This window comes from Homo sapiens, chromosome 4 (assembly GCF_000001405.40).
Source record: "Homo sapiens chromosome 4, GRCh38.p14 Primary Assembly".
In the NCBI taxonomy this organism is placed as follows: Eukaryota; Metazoa; Chordata; class Mammalia; order Primates; family Hominidae; genus Homo; species Homo sapiens.
Window position 1 is genome coordinate 88,708,791 of NC_000004.12, and position 21,771 is coordinate 88,730,561.

A 21,771-nucleotide genomic window follows, 5' to 3' on the forward strand; every position below is an offset into this window, starting at 1 on the left:
GGGGCATATTTAGGCAAGAGCCAAGAACAGTTTGAAGGGAACATCAGAGGAAATAGGCAAATAATAGTAAATAATGGTAAGTAAGACTTGGGAGAAAGAAGGTAGATTTGGGGCTGAGGAACTAGCCTAACACTGGAACTTTAGTAGTAGCCAAGTAGGATTTGTTTCAATGTTCAGAACTTGAGGGTGATAAGACCTGAGCCGGGTCTTAAGAAGGAAAATGTGGATGGTCTAAATCTGGAGGTATTGAGGTGGGAAGGACTGAAGCAGAAAGACAGGAGCTGAGACAGCAGTGACAGTGGCAGCAGCAGAACTAGAGAAGAGTATCTGAGGAGAGGTAGGGGGAGTGAGTGGAGGTGGTAGGAGCCTGCAGGGAGAAGGAGGCACTAAAGGTGGATCAGAGACTGGTTCATTTAGTGATTGGTGATTGTTAGGCCATTTAAGCACACCAAAAGTTTGTGAGACACAGCAAAAAAAAAAAAAAAAGAAAGGATTTTAAGTAAATTGGTAAAGCAAGTAAAATGTATTGTTTTGCCAGATTAAAAAGGTGGTTTAAAGGTGGTAAAGAGAATAGGAGCTTTCCATTAATAAGCTCCATTCAACAAACATTTAATAATCTACATAAGTGCTACATTTGAGGAGTTAAAAACAAACCCCACTACATTTAATTTTGCACAGAAATTGCCAAATTATTTTAACTAACTTTGAGGCCTCAGAATTCTCATCCATGAAATGAGATTGGATCAGATGATTTCTAAGGTTACTTTGAGCTCTAAAATTTTATAATTCCATTACTGAGAGAGTGCCTGAACATAGAGATACCCAATACATATTTCTAAAGATTTGTTGCATGAATGATATCTTATGCTGCTTCTAAAACACTATGATTTTTCTAAGATAGTTTCCTTTTCCCCTTCATTACCAATGCTTTAGAAGACTTAAATCTTCTGCATAGGCATTTCTGGATTTGCCTACCCACCTACCAACCTTCCCTCCCCTGAAAACTTTCAGATGCTTCTTCATTGTTTTAGTCATTTACCACTTTAATGAAATTATCTGGCAACTTTATTGTGGTGGGTGGGGATCAATGACGGTGTAATGAGGCAATTAGCAAATTCTGATAGTTCCATCTACTCCATGTGAAAGTCTCTTGATGTTTTATATGGTACTCTTATTAATAATCCCAGAGAGCAGGGGTTGGCAAACTATGGCCCATGGGCTAAAATGGTTTTTACATTTTAAAAGGGTTGAAAACTTTAAAACTGGAAGGATACATGACAGAGACTGGATGGCCTACAATGCCTAACATATTATCTAGCCCTTTACAGAAAACAACTGACCAATCCTTATGAGACCAGACTTGCAAAAATTACAGTAACAGAGTGAAAAACCTTCTTGAAGTGTTAGGAGGAACTTGAGTCATAATTTGATGTTGAATCAGAGAGAACAACTGTTTGGGCTTATTTGCCTCAGAGGTAAGAAAATCAAGTTTTAACTAAGATTAACCCACAGAAGTAGATATTAATACTAAGGTTTCGACCTAATAATAACTAACCTGTATTAATTGTGTGCAGTGTACCAGACCCATATGAGATCCTGCACCAACATTTGCTATGCACTAACTAGTTTAATTGCCATTACCAGGGTCCTCCTGGCTCTGCTATTTACTAGCTGTTTGACCTTGGGCAGGTTTCTTAACCTATGTCTCATTTTCTTCCTCTTCAAAATGAGAACAGAAATAGTGCCTACCTCATGGAGTTGTTGTGAGGATTAAATGAATTAATGGAAAGCATATAGAATAGCGCTTAGCACATAATAAGCTCTCAGTACTTAGAATTACCATTATCCCAGTTTTTCACATGAAGGAATTAATTAGAGAAAATAGTTGCTCATTATCACAAAATAGTGGGACCTGGACTTGACCATTAATCTGTGTTATGCCCAGCTGCTAGAGATGGGCAACAAATTGGATTAAGGCTGCTCAGTAGCCAAATAAAAAGGAATGTTGTAATGTGGCAGGTAACTTCTTTGACCACATATCTGCAAAGACATCGCACCGAGTTCCACGTATCTGCAAAGACATCGCACTGAGTTCCACGTATCTGCAAAGACATCACACTGAATTTTGTTTTGCTGCCAGTGTGCAATTCAGTAGTGATCAGTGCAGTTCTCATGTCATTTGCAGTGGGTCTCAAGTGAAGCTGGAGGTCTCTGTTGGTAGTTAGTAGCCAGGAACCAGGTATGCTTAATGCCTTGCATTGCATAGAACAATTCCTCTTTATCCTGCCCAAGATGCCAGTGGGCACTGCTATGGTCTGAATGTTTGTTTCCCTCTTAAAATTTATGTGTTGAAACCTAGCCCCCAAGATGATGGTATTAGGAGGTGAGGTCTTTGGGAGGTGATTATATCATAAGGGCAGAACCCTCATGAGTGGTATTAGTTCCCTTATAAAAGAGAACCCAGAGAGGTGCCTTGCCTTCCCTACCATGTGAGGACACAGCAAGAAGGCACAATCTGTGAGAAAGTAGGCCCTCGCCAGACACCACCAGTGCTTTGATCTTGGATTTCCCAGCCTCCAGAACTGTGAAAAATGATTTTCTGTTGTAAATTACCTAGTGTTTGGCATTTTGTTATAGTGGCTTGACTGGACTAAGACAGGCCCCTTTGTAAAACACTGAGAGAGGGATGGACTTCATACCCTTTAGGGGATCCTTCTCTGTAGAATTCTTTTTTTCAGAAGATTTTTTTTTTTCTTTTATTAATAAGCTTTTTATTTTTGAATACTTTTTTATTGGTACATAGTTGTACGTATTATGGGGTACTTGTGGTATTTTGATACAAGCATACAATGAATGCATAATGATTAAATCTGGGTAATTAAGATATCAAAACATCTATCATTTCTTTTTGTTGGTTACATTCCAAATCTTCTAGCTATTTTTAAACATACAATAAATTATTAACTATAGCCACCCTATTGTGCTATCAAACAATAGAGCTTATTCCATTTAACTGTTATTTTTGTACCCATTAACCAACCTCTTTTTATCCCTCTCCTCCTAGTATTTGCCCAGCCTCTGGTAACTATCATTCTATTCTCTACCTCCATGAGAGCAACTTTCTTAGCTCCCACATGTGAATGAGAACATGCAATATTTGTCTTTCTGTGCCTGGCTTATTTCAGTTAACATCGTGACCTCCAGTTCCATCCATGTTGCTGCAAATGGTAAGATTTCATTCTTTTTTCATGACTGAATAATATTCCCTCATGTTTATAGACCACATTTTCTTTATCCATTCATCTGTTGATGGATACTTAGGTTGAGTCTATATCGTGGTTATTGTGAACAGTGCTGCAACAAACTTGGGAATGCAGATGTCTCTTTGACATACTGATTTCCTTTCAAATTTTGGGCATATACGTAGTAGTGGGATTGCTGGATCATATAGTAGATCTATTTTTAGTTTTTTGAGGAATCTCCATACTGTTTTCTATACTGGCACTAATTTACATTCCCACCAAAGGGTGTGAGCATTCCCCTTTCTCTGCATTCCTGCCAGTGTCTGTTATTTTTTGTCTTTTAGATAACAGCCATTTTAACAAGGATGAGATGGTATCTCACTGTGGTTTTGATTTTCATTTCCCTCATTATTAGTGATATTGAGTATTTTTTCTAATACCTGTTGTCTATTTATATGTCTTCTTTTGAGAAATGTCTATTTAGATCATTTGCCCATTTCTAAATCACATTTTTTTTTTTTACTCTTGAATTGTTTGAGTTCTTTATACATTCTGGTTAATCTTTTATTGGATAGACAGTTTGCAAATATCTCCTCCCATTCTGTAGGTTGTATCTTTACTCTGTTGATTGTTCCCACTCCTGTGCAGAAGCTTTTTAGCTTTATGTAATCATATTTATCTATTCTTGCTGTTGCTGCCTGTGCTTTTGAGGTCTTACCCAAAAATCTTTGCTCAGACCAGTGTCCTGAAGCATTTCCCCAATGTTTTTCTTCTAGCAGTTTTATATAATAGTTTCAGGTCTTAATTTCATCAATTTCGATTTGTTTTTTATACATAGTGAGAGGTATGGAATCTAGTTTCATTCTTCTGCATATGGATATCCAGTTTTCTCAGCACCAGTTATTGAAGAGGCTGTCCGTTTTCTAATGTATGTTCTTGGCACCATTGTCAAAAATGACTTGGTTGTAAACATGTGAATTTATTTCTGGGTTCTCTATTCTGTTCTATCGGTCTATGTATGTGCCTGTTTTCATGCCAGTACCATGTTGTTCTGGTTCGTATGGCTTTGTAGTTTTTTTTTTTTTTTTTTTTTGAGACGGAGTCTCGCTCTGTCACCCAGGCTGGAGTGCAGTGGCATGATCTTGGCTCACTGCAAGCTCCACCTCCTGGGTTCATGCCATTCTTCTGCCTCAGCCTCCCAAATAGCTGGGACTACAGGCGCCTGCCACCATACCCAGCTAATTTTTGTATTTTTAGTAGAGACAGGGTTTCACCGTGTTGGCCAAGATGGTCTCGATCTCCTGACCACATGATCCGCCCGCCTCGGCCTCCCAAAATGCTGGGATTACAGGCATGAGCCACCGCGCCCTGCCTGTAGTATATTTTTAAGTCAGGTAATGTGATGCCTTCAGCTTTTTTTTCTCAGGGTTGCTTTGGCTATTAGGAGTCTTTTGTGATACATACGAATTTTAGAATAGTTTTTTTTTTATTTCTGTGAAGAATTTTATTGGTATTTTAATAGGGCTTGCATTGAATCTGTAGATTGCCATGGGTACTATAGATATTTAACAGTATTAGCTCTTTCAATCCATCAGCATGGGAAATCTTTCCATTTATTTTTGTCTTCTTCCATTTCTTTCATCAGTGTTTTATGTTTTCATTATAGAGATCCTTCACTTTGGTTAAATTTATTCCTGGGTATTTAATTTTTTGTAGCTATTGTAAATAGGATTGTTTTCTTGATTTCTTTTTCAAATTGTTAGCTATTGGTGTATAGAAATGCTACTGATTTTTGTATGTTGATTTTGTATCCTGTAACTGTACTGAATTTTTCAGTTCTAATAGTTTTTGGTGGAGTCTTTAGATTTTTCTAAATATGAGATCATGTTGCCTGTGAACAAGGATACATGTTCTTGCCTGTGAGAGGAAGAACAAGGCTTCTTCCTCTCCAATTTGGATGCCGCTTCTTTCTTGCCTAATTGCCCTGGCTAGGACTTCTAGTACTGTGTTGAATAAAAGTGGTGAAAGTGGGCATCTTTATCTTCTTCCAGATCTTTGAGGAAATGTTTTCAGTTTTCCTCTTATTATGGAGACAGAGTCTTGCTCTGTCACCCAGGCTAGAGTCTGGTGGTATGATCTTGTCTCACTGCAACCTCTACCTCCTGGGCTCAAGCAATCCTCCCATCTCAGCCTTCTGAGTAGCTGGGACTACAGTTGTGAGCCACCCCAACACCCAGCTAATTTTTGTATTTTTTGTAGAGACAGGATTTTGCCACATATATGGGATTTATTGTTTTAAAGTATGTTCCTTGTATACCTAGTTTTTTGAGAGTTTTTATTATGAAGGGATGTTGAATTTTAGTGAATACTTTATTCAGCACCTGTTGAAATGATTTTATGGTTTTTCTTGATTCTGTTAATGTGATGTATTGCGTTTATAGATTTGTTTATGTTATCCTTGTATCCTTGGGATGAATCTTACTTGATCATGTGAGATCTTTCTAATGTGTTGTTGAATTTAGTTTGCTTGTATTTTCTTGAGGATTTTTTGCATCTATGTTCATCAGAGACATCAGATCATTTTTTTGTTATATCCTTGTCTGGTTTGGATATCAGGGTAATGCTGGCCTCATAGAAGTATTCCCTTCTCTTTAATTCTCTAGAATAGTTTGGATAGAAATGGTATTAGCTCTTCTTTAAATGTTTGGTAGAATTCAACAGTGAATCTGTCAGGTTCTGGGTTTTTTTGTGTTGTTTTGATTTGTTTTTTTTGATGGGAAGATTTATTACTGGTTCAATCTTGTTACTCATTGTTGGTCTTACAGGTTTCGTATTTCTGCATAGTTCAATCCTAGTAGGTTATATGTATTTAGGAATTTATCTTTTTTTCCTAGGTTTTCTAATTTGTTGTCATATAGTTCATAATGGTCCTAATGATTCTTTGTATTTTTGTGGTATAAGTTGTAATGTCTTCTTTTTTTTTCTCTGATTTTATTTATTTGGGCCTTCTCGCTTTTTTTCTTAAATAGTCTACATAATGGTGTGTTGATTTTGCTTATTTTTTTAAAAAAACAACTTTTGTTCTTCTGTATTTTTTTTAGTCTCAATTTATTTCTGCTCTGATCTTTATTATTTCTTTCCTTCTACTAATTTTGGGTTTGGTTTGTTCTTGCTTTTCTGTTTCCTTGAGGTGCATGGTTAGACTGTTTATTTGAAATACTTCTATTTTTTGATGGAGGTGTTTATTCCTATAAACTTCCCCATTAGAACTGTTTTTGCTGTATCACATAGGTTTTGGTATGTTGTGCTTACATTTTCATTTGTCACAAGGAATTTTTAGATTTCCTTTTAAATTTCTTCATAGACCCATTGATTGTTCAGAAGCATGTTAATTTTCATGAATTTGTACAGTTTCCAACATTATTTCTGTTATTGATTTCTAGTTTTATTCCATTGTGGTCAGAAAAGATACTTGATATGATTTCAACTTTTAAAACTTTGTTGGCCGGGCGTGGTGGCTCATGCCTGTAATCCCAACACTTTGGGAGGCCGAGGTGGGCGGATCACAGTCAGGAGATCGAGACCATCCTGGCTAACACGGTGAAACCCCGTCTCTAGTAAAAATGCAAAAAATTAGCCAGGTGTGGTGGCAGGCGTCTGTAGTCCCAGCTACTCGGGAGGCTGAGGCAGGAGAATGGAGTGAACCCGGGAGGTGGAGCTTGCAGTGAGCCGAGATCGTGCCACCGCACTCTAGCCTGGTCAACAGAGCGAGACTCCATCTCAAAAAAAAAAAAATAATAAATAAAAATAAAAATTTGTTAAGAATTGGGTCTGTCTTGGAGAATGTTCCATTTGCTTTTGAGAAAAATATGTATTCTGCAGCTGTTCGATGGAGTGTTCCGTAAGTGTCTATTAGGTCTGTTTGATCTGAAATGCGATTTAACTCCAATGTTCCTTGTTAATTTTCTGTCAGAATTACCTGCCCATTGCTGAAAGTGAGTTATTGAAGTCCTCTATTATTGTATTGCATTCAGTTTCTCCCTTTAGGTTTATTAATATTGGTATTATATATTTGGGTGCACTGGTGTTGGATACATATTACAATTGTTACATCCTCTTGCTGAATTGACCCCTTTATCATTATAAAGGGATCCTTTTTGTCTTTTTTTTTTAATCATTCTTAATCTGATATAATTGTAGCTACTCCTGCTCTTTTTTGGTTTTCATTTGCATGGAATATCTTTTTCCATATCTTCACTTTCAGTCTGGGTGTCTTTATAGGTGAAGTGAGTTTCTTATAGACAGCATAGACTTTGGTCTTGTATTTTTTAAAAAAAATCCATTCAGCCTCTGGATGTCTTTTAGTTTAAGAATTTAATCCCTTTACAGTCAAGACTATTATTGATAGTTAAGGGTTTACTACTGCCATTTTGTTACTTGTTTCTAGGTTGTTTTGTAGATCCTTTCTTCTGTTTTTCCTTTCCTCCTATATTTCTTTGTGATTAAGTGATTTCCTCTAGTAACGTGTTTTGATTCTATGCTCTTTATTTTTAGCACATCTATTATAGGTTTTTGCTTTGTGGTTACCAAGAGGCTTACAAAAACATCTAAGAATTGTAACAGGTTATTTTAAACTGATAATGATTTAACTTTTATTACAAGGAAAACTATGAAAAATAAACTCTAGTCTAATCCACCCCCCACATTTTGACTTTTTGTTAAAAAATTTACATGTTTTTATATTGCCTATCCTTAACCAATTTGTACAGTTATTATTGTTTTTAATAGTTTTGTCTTTTAGTTTTCAGACTTGTGATATAAGCGGTTTACTTTCCACATTTACAGTATTATTCTGATTTTGTCTATTACTTTTACCAGTGAGTTTTATACCTTCAGATGTCTTGTTTATTACTTTTTTTTTTTTAATAGAGATGGGATTTTGCCATGTTGGCCATGCTGGTCTTAAACTCTTGGCCTCAAGTGATCCGCCCACCTCAGCCTCCCAAAGTGCTGGGATTACAGGTATGAGCCACCATATCCAGCTAGATGTTTTCCTATTACATGTTAGCACCCATTATATTCAGATTGCAGAACTCTGTTTAGCATTTCTTATAAAATGGGTATGGTGTTGATTAATTCCCTCAGCTTTTGTATGTATGTTTGTGTTTCTTATCCTTTGTGTTTTAAGGATAGCTTTGCTGGGTAGGGTATTCTTGGTTGACATTTTCTTCAGCACTTTGAATATAACATCATGCCCTTTCCTGGCCTGTAGGGTTTCCACTGAGAAGTCTGCTGAAAGCTGTATTGGATGTGGTATGTTTCTTTTATCTTGCTGATTGGAGTTTTTTTCTCTTTGTCTTTGATTTTGGCTAATTTGATTATGATGTGCCTTGGGGAGAATTCCTCTTTCATTTGAATTTGATTGGTGACTTCTCAGCTTCTGTACCTGGATGCTGTTCGTCTTTCTCTAAATTTGGGAAATTTTCAGCCATTCATTCTTTAAATATACTTTCTAGGCCTTTTTTTTCCTTGTCTGCTGTGGGAATTCCAATTACATGGAGGTTAGTACACTTGATGGTGTAACATAATTTTTTGTAGGCCTTCTTCACTGTTTTCATTCTCTTTTCTGTTTACTCCTCTGACTGGGTAATTTCATATGTTCTGGCTTAAAGCTTGCTAATTATTTCCTCTGTTTAATCAAGTCTGCCGTTAAAGCTTTCTCAGGAGTTTTTCAGTTCAGTTATTGTATTCTTAGTTTTAGGATTTCTCTTTGATTTCTTTTAATTTTTTCTATTTCTTTGTCATTGTCTCTTTTTGTTTCTGGATTGTTTTTCAAATTTCACTTCCCATTCTGGGGAGGACTTATATTGAGCACCAGAACTAAACGACTGTACTGGAATGAACTTGTTGCCCTGTTGTCATTTCCAGTCTCGCAAAGGCACAGTGAATATCAAAAATTAAATGATGTTCTGGAACTAAATTGCTGCCTTGCCATTGTTTCCTTGTCTGGAGAAGACTTATAGCAAATACCAGAGTTTAAATGCTGCCCTGAAACAACACTGCTGCCCTGCCGTTGTTTTCCAGTCTGGGGAAGACTTAAATGGGCACTGGAACTTAATCTCGACCTTTTAGTTGTTTCTGAGCTAGAGGAAGGCTCCACTCACGCACCTGGGATTTGTGGAAAACCCAGCTGGGGATTTGGGCCTTCCTCTGGATTGTGCCCCTGAGGCACTATGGTCCTGGCCAGTTTGTTTAACTTGGCATCCCCACTGATCAGAGTGCTGAGATCAGCTTTCTGTGATGAACACCCAGGTCATTGTTTCCACCTCACCCCAAGTAGTTAAGCTTTCCTGACACTCCCAATGGTTCTGATCAAATAGGACCAGAATGGACTTCGCATGAAGATTCCTAGACCAGTGGGGAGATCGAATATTCACCTCCAATTCCCTCCTTCACTAGCAACCATGGGTCTAGGGAAAATCTCTGTGAGTGGTACTATGCCAGCTTAGGGGAAGGGGTGGCACAGTGTTAAATGACTGTTCATCCTACCTGTCATGGCTTCTCTCAATTCTGTGTGCCTTGGTGGTTTCTCTGCTTCCCCTCTGAGTTCTGGTATATTCATGGTGGTATTCTTGTCATTGAATGGTTTCTAATTGTATTTTTGTCAGGGACGTGATGCTGGGGGATTGTCTGTTCCACCATCTTGCTAATATCACTCTGAAACTCTATTTTTGAATAATTTTAGATCTATAGAAAAGTAGCAGAAATAATACAGAGTTATTTGATTTTTCACTCAGTATCCCCAAATGTTAACATAGCACCGTGGTATAGTTATCAAACCAAGGAACCAATATTGGGAAATTACTATTCATGAAACTTCACTCTTTTTTTTTGATTTTACCAGTTTTTCCACTGATGTCTGTCCCAAGGTCTAATTGAGGATCCCACAGTGCATGTATTTCAACAGGCTTTTAGTAAATATTGGGATTCCAGGCTTTGTCTCTGGCTAGATATGAGAGTACAAATCCTCTGTGCCCCTCCACCTCCCCAGACAGTCATGCTGTACAATCTTGGGACATAGGGTAAAGTGAAGGGCCTCTTCGGGCAGGCAGGTAAGTCATCAGGCCACTCCATGGGCCCTGGGAGACCATCAGCACACAGTTGGGCCCTTCCTCAGCAAGCAGCTCTGTGTTCTCAGCAGTATGAGTAAGCATTGAGGCCTCAATAGTTGGCAAAAAGCAGATCTTCCTGTGGGAAAAATACTTTGAATAAGGAAGAAAAAGGAGATTTGTATTATATAAGTTTGGCTGTCTCTAATTTAAAGAAAGTTAAACTTTATTGCACAACGACTACTAGTTCTTTCTTCTTCTTCTTCCTTCTCCTCCTCTTCCTTCTCCTTTTTCTGTCTCCTCCTACTTCTCCTTGTCCTTTTTCTCCTCCTCCTCCTCCTTCCCTTCTCCTCCTCCTCCTCTTTCTCCTTCCCTTCTCCTCCTTCTCCTCCTTCCTCTATCTTTTTCTCCTCCTCCTTCTTCTCTTTCCTTTCTCCTTCTTCTCCTCCTCCTTCTCCCCCCCTTCTCTTTCTCCTCCTCCTTCTCCTTCTTTCTTCTCCTTCTTTTCTTCTCCTCCTCCTCCTTTTCTCCTCTCCTCCTCCTTTTTTCTTCTCCTTCTTCTCCTCCTCCTTCTCTTCCTTCTCATTCTTCCCCTTCTTCTTTTCCTTCGTTTCCTCCCCCCCTCCACCTCCTCTCAAATTTAGTTTTCCACGGAATCCCCCATCCTTTGGAAATTTTTTTTTTGCTTAGTATCTGTTCATTTCTTCCAGAATCATAGTTTGGAATTAATGGACACATAGTAGTTAATCAGATGATAGAGATTAAAGTGAAGGGAGGCATACACTGGAATAGCAAAATATGTTTGCAGTGAAACCCAATGAATAGAATACTTCATGTTAGGGTGAAGTATTGGAGGAAAAACAAATACTTTCATTAAAATCAAAGCTACTCTTCAGAATTTCATTATTTTCTTTTAATGAGAAATGTATGTGTTGGTCGTCTTGTCGTCTTTGACTCTTAAAATGTAACCAAGCAAATTTTAAACTACATCTCTAAAGTGCCTAAGTGTGATGCCTACGTTACCTTTAACTTAACTTCGTTAGTGGCAGAGGTTCCATGAGTTATGAGTACTCTGCTCTGTGAATGTCTCCATTTTTGAGGTGCCTTTGTGGAGTATTGATAGGGACCATTCCTGGGCTCCACTTACAGACTTCTGTTGGGGAATAGGATCTCACAAAGCAGAACAGGAGTTTGTGATAAGGAAGAGGACAAAGAGAGCAGGTCCTTGTGTTCTTCAAAAACGGTGAACATTATCCTACTGATTTTGGACCAAGGGAGTTCTCCAGTGGGAAGTGACACAGAACCTACCACAGTGCCTTCCAATCCAGGTTTTTGGTAATGAGTGATGAATGAATCCCATGAGAGCAGAGCCCCGTGGAGCGGGTGGCAAATGTTGCTCTCTGACTACAGTTCTCTCCTTAGGGATGCTAACACAGACTGCCTCAGATGCAGGCAGGGCTGCTTGTCCACACTGATCAGGCATGGATTTGCATTAACATCTGTAGTGCCCTTTACTTGTGCAGTGAGATACTGGGATATACAACAGAATAGGTGCTGGAAGAGGCATCCACTACAGTGTGGGCAGACTCTTTGGATCTGTATTAATAACAGCCTCTCCCGTGGATTAGCTAGTCCAGGCTTTGGTGCTTTATTTCCTCCCAAAATAATGGAGTGTGTACTCCTTAGTTATGTGTAGCACCAAGAAAATTAATCCAGATGTCATCTTTTTTGTTTCCCCCTCCAGCGTGGCTGGATACTTGGCAGGGCACAGAATCACATGGTCTTCAGATCTTCTAAAAGCTGATTTTCCTGGGCCTAATCCCATGAGAGTTGGAGACAGTCTATGATAATTACTGATTCAGCTCCTGCTGGTGTTGAACTTACTGAGAAACTTAAACAAGAATTAAAATACACACCCACACACCCTCAGATGGAGCCAAACACTAAACCAGATTAGTCTTTCGTGGTCACCTTTTCTTCAGGATTAGGAGGATCAGAAAGCAAGAGCAGATTCTGAAACACTGTAACCCCATTCCCTACTGGGTCATAAGAGGCTGGTGCTCTTGAGGACGAAGGTCGGCAGCAGGTGCCAACTAGGTACTGGCTTCTGGTCCCAGCAGAGCTGGCCTGCCACAGCCCAAGCGTCTTGTTTTGGTTAAAAAATGAGTCTCTTGGCCTTTCATGCCTGGGCGTTCTCCGGAACTCAGATGTTTGTGAACCAGGTTCAGGGACTCTCAAGTTCAAGTCACTGGCAGATTGGAGAAAAGACCTAGAAGTTCTAAGTGTCTGAGGTAATGAGAGGAGGGACGCAAAGCCTCATTCAATGAGACTGCAAAGTCACCTGAATGGGAAAGCTTGCCCTATTGCTGGCCTCGGCAATGGCACCTTCAGGTTGTCCCCTGTACGGGTTGATGAGGGAGTGGAGGACCCCAGGTCCCTTCTTAATGTCAGCCTTGGCCACAGGTTTCGATGAAATTTAGTATGTTGATTAGGAGCTGCCAAAATCAGAGCAACTCCCCTCCCAAGGGGACGTTTAGTTTTCAGTTGTTAAAAATACACCCTGAGACAGAAATTTTGGGACACTTAAGTGACTTTGAAATCCATCCAAAGGTTACTCTGTTCCTTCACTCCACACAGCTCAGGCATTTCCATGTTGGTCTCAGCTGCCATCTCAATGGTTTATTCTTTTTACATGTTGGAGCAGATCTGGACCTCCCAAAATGTTTTGAGGAGAAGTGGGCTTAGAGGGGTTTTCCCTGCTCTGTGAGAGAAGGAATTTAGCAAGGATTAATTTTTCTAAGAAGGTGGCACAAGTTTTGATGTGATTTGCTGGAAAATAGTAATAGTCACAATTTATCTTATTCCCCCAAGAGAATGGGATGATGTTCCCATGGAACCTTGCTCATCCTGCTAGCAATAACTTGTATTCTCTTTCTGATTCACACAAACAAGGATCAGAGGGTGATGGTGGGGGAAATGATACCAGGAAATACAGTTCGTTTTTTGCAGGGATTCAGAATGTGTTGCTGGACTTCAAGATAGGAAGAATCTTTGCCTTGATGGCTGATGACAGTAACCACCCCATCTACCATCATCTATTAAGGATTTACTGTGTGGTCACTTTACAGTCATCCAAGTAAATTTTCATAATCACCTGATTACATGGGTACCGCTTTTCAGAAAAAGAAACAGATTTCTGGAGGGTAAGTAACCCAAATCGTACAGCTGAGCCATCTGTCTGCATCTCAAGCATTGAGGCAGCATTCGGCCTCCGAGGGTGTTGTCAAATGTGCTGGTCTCTGTTAACTCAGGGTTTTGGATTAATGGGTGGAGCTGCTCATTTTCACAAACACCCAGGATGCAGTCTGCACCCTCTATTTAAAGTGAGGTCCCTGGACGAGCAACACGGCAGCACCTGGCTGCTTGTCAGCAATGCAGAACATCAGGCACTCCCTGGAGCTACAGCACAAGATCCCCAGGCAGGCGCATGTGCATCCAAGTTTGAGCCGCACTGCTTTCTGCCACTACGGAGGAATGTATCCTTTACTCTCTTCCTCCCCTTCGTCTCATCTTGTTTGGTAATTTTAAATTATTTAAAAGTTATAGAAAATCATAGTGCCTCAAAATGGCTTACCAAGAAATACTCAAAGCTGTAGGATCAGAAGCTTGACATGAAGATTTCTGTGCATCTTTGAATTGCTTTACAGAAATTAAAGAAAAATCCAGACATCTAAAAGATTATAATTTCAGAATTCATAGTAACATGGGGATCTTCTTGGTGTCAGAACTGAGTTCTTGCTGAGGTTTGCATTGGGCCCTGTCTCCGGGCAGCTGCAGCATAACACGGAGTCACCCTTGCTGTCTAAGCCTTGTGGCTGGAGGGGAAGAGTGAGGACCAAGCTGTCAACAATCCCAGACCTGCCAAGCCCCATTTGTCTGTGTGCCTGCCAGGATTCTAAGACTGCATTTGGGAATTTTGACTTTTACTGAATGTGAAATTCTGTGTATATATAGCCTTGGTGAGCTGACCCAGTCAGGGATGACTCTGATGTACTTTTGTCTTACAGGATTCAGAATCCATGGCTGGAAGAGGTAGTAAGGCCATTGGGAGGGCATGCCTCTCCTCAGCCCACCCCCACCCTGTGTGGGTCTCCATTCTGAAATTTCCATTCAGGTACTTCACAGTTCTGCAAATTATGATAGGATTAGAAGTGAAGACATTGTTGGGGGGTTCAGAGGACATCAGGCTTTGTACTAGGCTGTGGAACCTGGTGTACTTGGGCTTGTGTAACTTTCTGGTCCCTCAAAAGAGGCAACATCAGAAGATTAAAGAAAGTGAGAATCACTAAATATAGCTTGTCATTTCTGCCCAAATTTTATTACTTGAGCCCAGAGTTACCAAAATTATTCAGGGTGAGCTTCAGTTTTGGCAGGACAGCATTAACTTGCATCTGTGTTAGCAGTATTGCATCTTTGTACTCCGAAGTCAGACAGATTTGAGTTTGAATCCTTGTTTTAGCACTAGGACCTTATTCCAGCCTTTTTTTATTTTTTAATTTCAGGCTTAGCATATTTCTAATGGTTACTTTCTGTCACTTAGAGAATGTGTAGCAGCACATGAAGGACACTGCATGCCTACCCACCATGGCAGCTTTGTGTCCCCAGCTGTCAGGTGAGGCATGGAACTCCTGCTGCCCAACTCTCCAGGCTATTCGAGGCCTGAGCGAGGAGGGCACACTTGGCCAGGGATAGGAAGGAACAGGCAGTGCAAAGGGTGAGGTGCTCCCTCCACACGACTGAAATGTGTGTTTCTGCAAGTCTCTCAGTTCTCTGGTGGCCTTACTAGTTTCAGAATAGTAAATGGCTAATGTATTTATTCATGATGGCCTCATTGGCTTGGGAGATGTACTTAATTTTTAAAAATTTGCTTTAATTCCCTCATTTCTGCACTTCTCCAGTGCTTTCTATGAATTTTTTAAAGGCAACTGAGCCATGAGAGCACAAGCCCATTTTTCTAGCTGCAAAACGGACATGCCTGAAGTGTATGCTCAGCTCGCATCACCTTCCAGTGCCCTGCCTGGAGCTAGAACAACAAAACTTAATCCTCAGGAGGCTTCTGAGGGGCTCCAGGGAGTCACAGGATTACTTAAAGAAGGGAAAGGTCAGACCCTGATCCTGATGCCACTGTCAAAAATTCTAGCACTTTCATAGTTTAAAATATTTTACATTTATACAAAATAGTCATGTATAAAATGTTTTTTGTTCAGTTTACATTTTTAAAAAGGACAATGGTAATTTCAAATGCCTTCTGCTTACATGTCATGTAAATATTGTTAGGAGCCCATATTTTTTACAAAAACTATTATTTGTGGAGATTTTCATGACTGTATAGGTGTTTTCAGTTGGAGGATTTGCCAAACCTGTGTTTTGAGGCACACACGTGATCTCTGCTTGGGAAAGTGGCCAGTGCCACTGTGCAGTGCCCAGCATTTATACGTGACTCTGTTTGGTGTGTGCTGTGTTGGTCACCACTTAAAGTAGAGCCAGTGTGCACAATTTGAATATATAAAAATTTGAAAATATGTTTAGCCAGTCTACTCTTTAGTATATATTTTGAGTGAGTGTCAAGTGGAAAAAAAACAGTAAAAGGAAATTAATGAAGGAAAGGAAAGCACTTTCTGAGTTCTGTCAAACACAAGAGCTTCAGAGGAAACAGTGCTTCAAGACTGTAGTATAGTTTGTCCCTCCTCATTGATTTAACTAAGTGGATACTGAAAAAATATCACAGAGGCATTGATCTTGGTGCAGAAACCACCTCTCCCTGACTAGGGGAAAATAAGCTAGCAAGCAGTGTGTCAGGAAGACCCCTCTTGAAAGCAAAACAGAATTTAGACTACAGCTAGCTTTCACAAAGCTGTTAGCAGTTTATGGTGTTCAACTATAAATAAATATACCACCAAAAGCATAAGGTGTTACTCTTAAGAAAATGGCATGTTTATCAGATTAAAAAGCTCTAAAACCAAAAATTATCCAAAAAGTTAAACTCTGTGATTAGTTCTGGACACAGGGCCCAATTCTGTCGTCTCTTGAGAACTAGGCAACCCCTGGGCAGAACCAGCTTGATTAGCACCATGGCCATCCCTTTATGATGATAACAAACCTAAATATTCACCTTATAAGGAATTCTAAGCTCAACCACATTTACAAATGCTCAGCCCTCGGGGTTCCAAGACTGCTGGTCTTGGGATACCTTAGTGCGGCATTTATGACACAACACAGCTTTGAGGCATTTGTCCTTGGCTGGAAATGTCACACCTGGGAGCAGGCACACCCTGCAAGAGGCTATTCCGCTGCCACCCAAGCAATGAATTATGAGACAAAGCAAAAATTACACTGATGTTACAGAGACATCACTGATCCCTGCAATGAGTAATAATCTTCTTTTGACTTTGAACTGGTAGGCAAATGGAAGAAATCTTAACAGCTGACAACATCCTAGCTGGTAATTAAAAAAATAATTTTTAGTACTCCAGTTTGAAATTTGGTCTTTCACGGAAATTTTCCCTCATTTGGGAGGTCACCAAAATTGTGCTAGCTTTTTAAATTTTTATTATTTTTTTTAAAGCAGCACAGGACAAACTTCTACCATCTTGAAAAACTTCTAAGCTGTCCCTTATCCTAAATCTTGCACCTACAAGTCTTAGAAAGTGAATCTGAACTAAATGATTCAAAGATGAAACATAATGATATCATACTTAATATAAACATCTATTTCAACGTTTACGCCAGACTGAACACAATAAAAGTACTTATGAAAATTATAAGTCTGCACTCTTTAATTCTTAAGTTTACTTACACTTATGAAATAACTCTTGACATTTATTTTGTTGGCATGTGCTAATTAATAAACACATATTCCCAACACAGCAAAGGAAAAATCCCAGTCCAGAGCATTTTGTCTTTGTGAAGCCAATTAATTAAGACACCGCCTCTAGTGCCTTGAGATTCTGGGCTGCAGAAATGGTTGCTGGGGAACACATCTCCCTCGGCAGAGCCAGAAACCACTGACTGACTGACTAACAAACATTTCTTCAAATAAGATCTAGTGTGAAAAGGGCTTCCTCTCATTTCTTCTGGGCTCCATTCCATGAAGAATATAAGTTAGTTAGTTAGTTAGTGGAAATTACAAAGGAAAACACAACATCTCATACACAATTTATTTTATATAACTTACTTGGTGTTTTCTTTTATTGAATCATACAAATTCAAATGGGGATTCCTGAATAAATCTTTAGTTAATTTACCTTTGGCAGAAACAACAGATTCCAAAACAATTAGTAGCATCTCATTTATTTGTAGCTTAAAAAAAAATTCTGTAGCGTATTTTTCCAAAAACATAGTCTTAAACAAATGTGCTTTAAAAGCTAACTGGTAATGATCTGATTAATATCATAGCTTATTTAAGAGAGCTATTAAAGGACAGACTAGACATGTATTTTTAAAAAAACACAATTTTTGGTCATGTGAATGATTCATGTTCAGATTTCAAAAATAGGAAACATCCTAAAGTGCATCATTTTATTTATAATCTCACTCCTTGAAATTATAGCAATCTGCAATGTAAACAGTAGAGCAAAGAATTCCAAACTATATTTTTATGTACATTTAAACCTGTAGGATTATGTACCGTCTTTGTGTATGGATTAAAACCAGGGCACTTCCAACACATAGCTCAAGCTTCCATACGATTAAGAGCAAACTTAAAGGCATTCTTTTTCCCCATCCTTAACATTCAGCTGACAGAAGAGAGCTGCTACCTCACTTCAGCAATGGAAAATGTTGCTGTAAATCCCATTGGACCAGCCAGTTTCTCACGACCCTTTAAAACTGAAAACGGGTCAGTATAGTTTTACATTCTTTTTCTTTTCCTTAAAACTGTGCCCTTTCAGAAGGCAACTTTCAAAACATACGAGGGTGCCTCTGCTGTGTGTTCATACTGTAACACGTCGTCTAAGGCAGAGCTCCTGAAGCACCTTCTCTGGTCAGCCGTGGCAGGCGAGCAGATGCCTGGGCTCGGCCTCGCAAAGCACAAAGGTGGACACAGAACCCACTGTCCTTGGCGCAGGAGTTAAAAAAGTAACAGCAAATCATGAGGTGACATCAGGCACACTGAAGAGATGGAGGATTTGGTGTCTTACATTTCCTGGTCCCTCCAAAATGTCTAATATAGACAGTTTTGTGACAAAGTCTTTGAAAAAAATTATAATTGGCCACACAGCATGACTTCTTTTTTTTCTTTTTATACATGATCTCGAAAATAGTGTGATTTAGATTCTGCCTTGGGCTGAGCTCTGAGGGCTACATTTACCTGTCAGTTTGGGGATTTTAGTGCAGATTTTTTTTAAAAAAATTAAACTCTGGTAAGTACTCAGGAGGCTGAGAACACAGGCCCCTTCTCTCCCCGATCCTCTGTATGCAGGCTGACTTAAGCCCCTTTATGTTTGGCTAGTGCCACAACAAAACAGCCCCAAACAGATTGCCATGAGCATGCTAGCCTGGCTTGGTGTTTGACGATAAAATCAGACTGGTAAGTGCAGTCAGTGTTCAGGAAAGAATCTCCAGGCTCTTCTCCCATGACCTGGTTTTAAAATCAGCATTCATACAGCTGCTTACCATCTCTCTGTCCTCTGCAGATGACCCGGTCCTAGGCAGGGACCAAAATTCCTTGTCAGCTGAGGAAGTCCTGAAGAAACATCCTGAAGATGATGACTGCACTGCCATCGTGGGCAGATGCAGCTTCCATCTACCTGAGGGCTGAAGGGGAAAACCTTTCACACACGTGAGGAAGGCGCAGCTCTGTGGAAAGGTCACTAGAATGGCAGCGGCAGCAAATAGGGCTCCAATGCACGTTTGCAGTTAACTGGGTCCAAGGAGAGCATGGCCCTCCACAGCAAGTTTGCTCTATAGAATAAAGTCCTGAGCTTGTTTTTATCACAGTTAGACAGAGAATGGTCTCTTGTTTCTCAGTTATCCAGGGAAGAACAGTGTATATTCTCTGTAGATGAGTGTTGTCTAATGTAGTGATTAATCTCTGCTAGTGTTAGGAAAGCTCCACTACTGTGTGTGTGTGTGCGTGCATGCGCGTGCGCATGTGCACATACTGCAGTCTTGACTTTCCAATTACAAAATGCCTAAGTCAGGTCACATTGTCTTCTTCCAGCCAGTTTCTAAGGCAGGCAATGGAAACAGGAGCCGATGCCAAATGGTCTAGAGGCAGAAGGGCTGCATGCTTTGCAGGGCCAGCCCCAAGGCTGCCTTCCAGAGCTGCACTTTCTCTGGGGACAGTAAACTCTCACCGCAGCTGCCAGCCCCCTGTGCTTGGCCATGCCCCTCACATGGACTTGGAATCAGTGTCTCTCTTGCTGATGAGCACCTCCAGGAGCCTCAGTTTCGCCTTTATGTGCTTATATTCACTGTATTCTTCAGCCATAGGAGTGCGGTCTTCCTTCTGGACATTTCTAATGCAAATAAAGGAAAAAGGGGTCTGAGGATCATTTTCTGTCTTTGCTAGATACTATTCATCGGGCAAATTATCATTGTTTAGAAACTTTGCAGTTTATCAACTTGTAGAATCAGTGTTGCCGAGTGGCCCTTGGTCTCAAGACTGGGGCTGGATTTAGACAAGTAATGAAAATGTTTCACCCAGAAGGCAACATGCAACTGAGTTTTTATATAGTTAATCTGGCATCCTGTATGATAAGAAGGCTAAGAAATGCAGAAATTCTCTCTGCTAAGTATGAATTCACATTGAGCTCTCATACACCAAAATCTTTTATTCATACTTAATGTTTTCTCATTCTTATATATTTCATCTCGTGAAATTTTAAATTTTTAATTAGCAACTGGTCCACAACTTAGTTTTTTTTTTTTTTTTTTTTTCCAAAAACAGATAGTTAATACTCCTACTTATCATAAAACTGTGTTAGAATTCAGCAGCTGGATTACATAATACTATTATAATAAGCCTTTATTATTGAGTAACTTTACATACATAATATTTATATGCACAAGTATTTGAGAGCTTATAGGTCAAGCCCTGTGCTAAGTACTTTGTACCCATGATCTGATAGAACCCTTATAACACCTTGATGAGATGCAGCCATTTTCTACACACTACACATGATGAAACCAGCACAGGAAATCAGATAACTTGCCTGCTCTTGGCCACCACGCGGTGCGCTGCTGCTTTGTGTTTTATGGGAAATTGCACATGGCAAACATTCAACCATAGGCTTCCTGCCTTTATTATTAAAGGGCAAATATGGGTAAGGAGGATAGCATGGGGCTTGATTTGTTCAATGACCTAAAAATAAACTGATCTTATTCATACCCTGCCTTGTTCTAGGAAAGGATTCTAGTGGCTTCTCAGCAGAGGGCAGGGCAAGGAACAGGTGCTCAGGAATTGGAGCATCTGGCACGCAGGCCCCCACTGCACTCTGAGGGGCTTCACTCTCCTCAGACACGAAGTCATGGAACCAGAGCTTATCTCCTAAGTCCCTCATAGTTCTAAACTTTTTTGACAATTAAGTTAACGTCCTCCATTGACATTTTCTTAAAACCTGGGTGGTTTGCGTAATTCTACATGTATAAGATATCTGTGCATAATGTGACTTAGAATAATATAAAAAAGGATAAGCCAAAAAATAGGCTTAGATGAAAGACTGGAAAGATACACGTCAAAACATTAATTCTGACTTGTCTTTGGTTATTATTGTTTTGGGAATTACTACTTAAATTTGCTTACCTATATTTTCTAAATACTGTGCAATGGGTGGGAAATGAAAAGCAAGTGTTTAGGTATAAAAATATATGAGACATATCCAAATCAGAGATCCTAAAAGTAAATTCATACAATAATTGTTAAACTAAACTGAAATACAATATATTTTAAATGACAAAGTTAATTTTTATGGTGCTTTCATTTCCCCAAACTTTCAAGAAGTATAAAAGAGGACTCAAGAGAAACAATACTTACATAGCTTCAGTAATCTGGGTTAAATCCAATTTAAAATGATAAAACCTAACTCCAATGTAAGAGATGCAAATCTGTTCCTGGTTCTTTCCTCAGGCTCCTACTGTGACTTTCGGTAAGATTTTTGTGTGCTGTTGCTTGTAAACATGAAAGACTAAATTGTGCCTTAAAATTCACTGGCGAGAGGCAGCCCATCAACCAGGTAGATTTACTGCTTTTCTTTTCTTTGTTTTTTTTGAGACGAAGTCTTGCTCTGTAGCCCAGGCTGCAGTGCAGTGGCGTGATCTCGGCTCACTGCAACCTTGGCCTCCCGGGTTCAAGTGATTCTCTTGCCTCAGCCTCGAGTAGCTGGGATTACAGGCCTGTGCTACTGCACCCGGCTAATTTT

The 21,771-nt window shown here is 39.6% G+C and overlaps 1 protein-coding gene and 1 long non-coding RNA gene across 25 annotated transcripts in view, besides 1 other annotated feature; one reads left to right on the top strand and one right to left on the bottom strand.

The window, feature by feature from the left end:
• The first annotated feature begins 998 nt into the window (after positions 1-998).
• On the top strand, positions 999-21,313 carry FAM13A-AS1 (FAM13A antisense RNA 1). Its single transcript, NR_002806.2, has 5 exons — positions 999-1,475; positions 3,065-3,227; positions 13,361-13,554; positions 14,419-14,525; positions 19,045-21,313. It is a non-coding gene; the product is annotated as an FAM13A antisense RNA 1 (long non-coding RNA).
• Positions 12,120-12,621: an enhancer, noted in NCBI's record as "H3K27ac hESC enhancer chr4:89642061-89642562 (GRCh37/hg19 assembly coordinates)". NCBI's record gives its function as "activates a minimal SCP1, AML or CMV promoter by ChIP-STARR-seq in naive H9 embryonic stem cells {active_cell/tissue: H9 hESC(naive)}" and the evidence as "EXISTENCE:reporter gene assay evidence [ECO:0000049][PMID:30033119]".
• Positions 17,170-21,771, bottom strand: part of FAM13A (family with sequence similarity 13 member A) — a 331,226-nt gene continuing 326,624 nt past the window's right edge. For all 24 annotated transcript variants that reach the window (XM_047449481.1, XM_047449479.1, XM_011531516.2 and 21 more), the window contains one exon: positions 17,170-19,869. In XM_047449481.1, the coding sequence (XP_047305437.1) occupies positions 19,743-19,869 (127 nt within the window). In that variant the 3' untranslated portion in view covers positions 17,170-19,742. The remainder of the gene's footprint in view (positions 19,870-21,771) is intronic.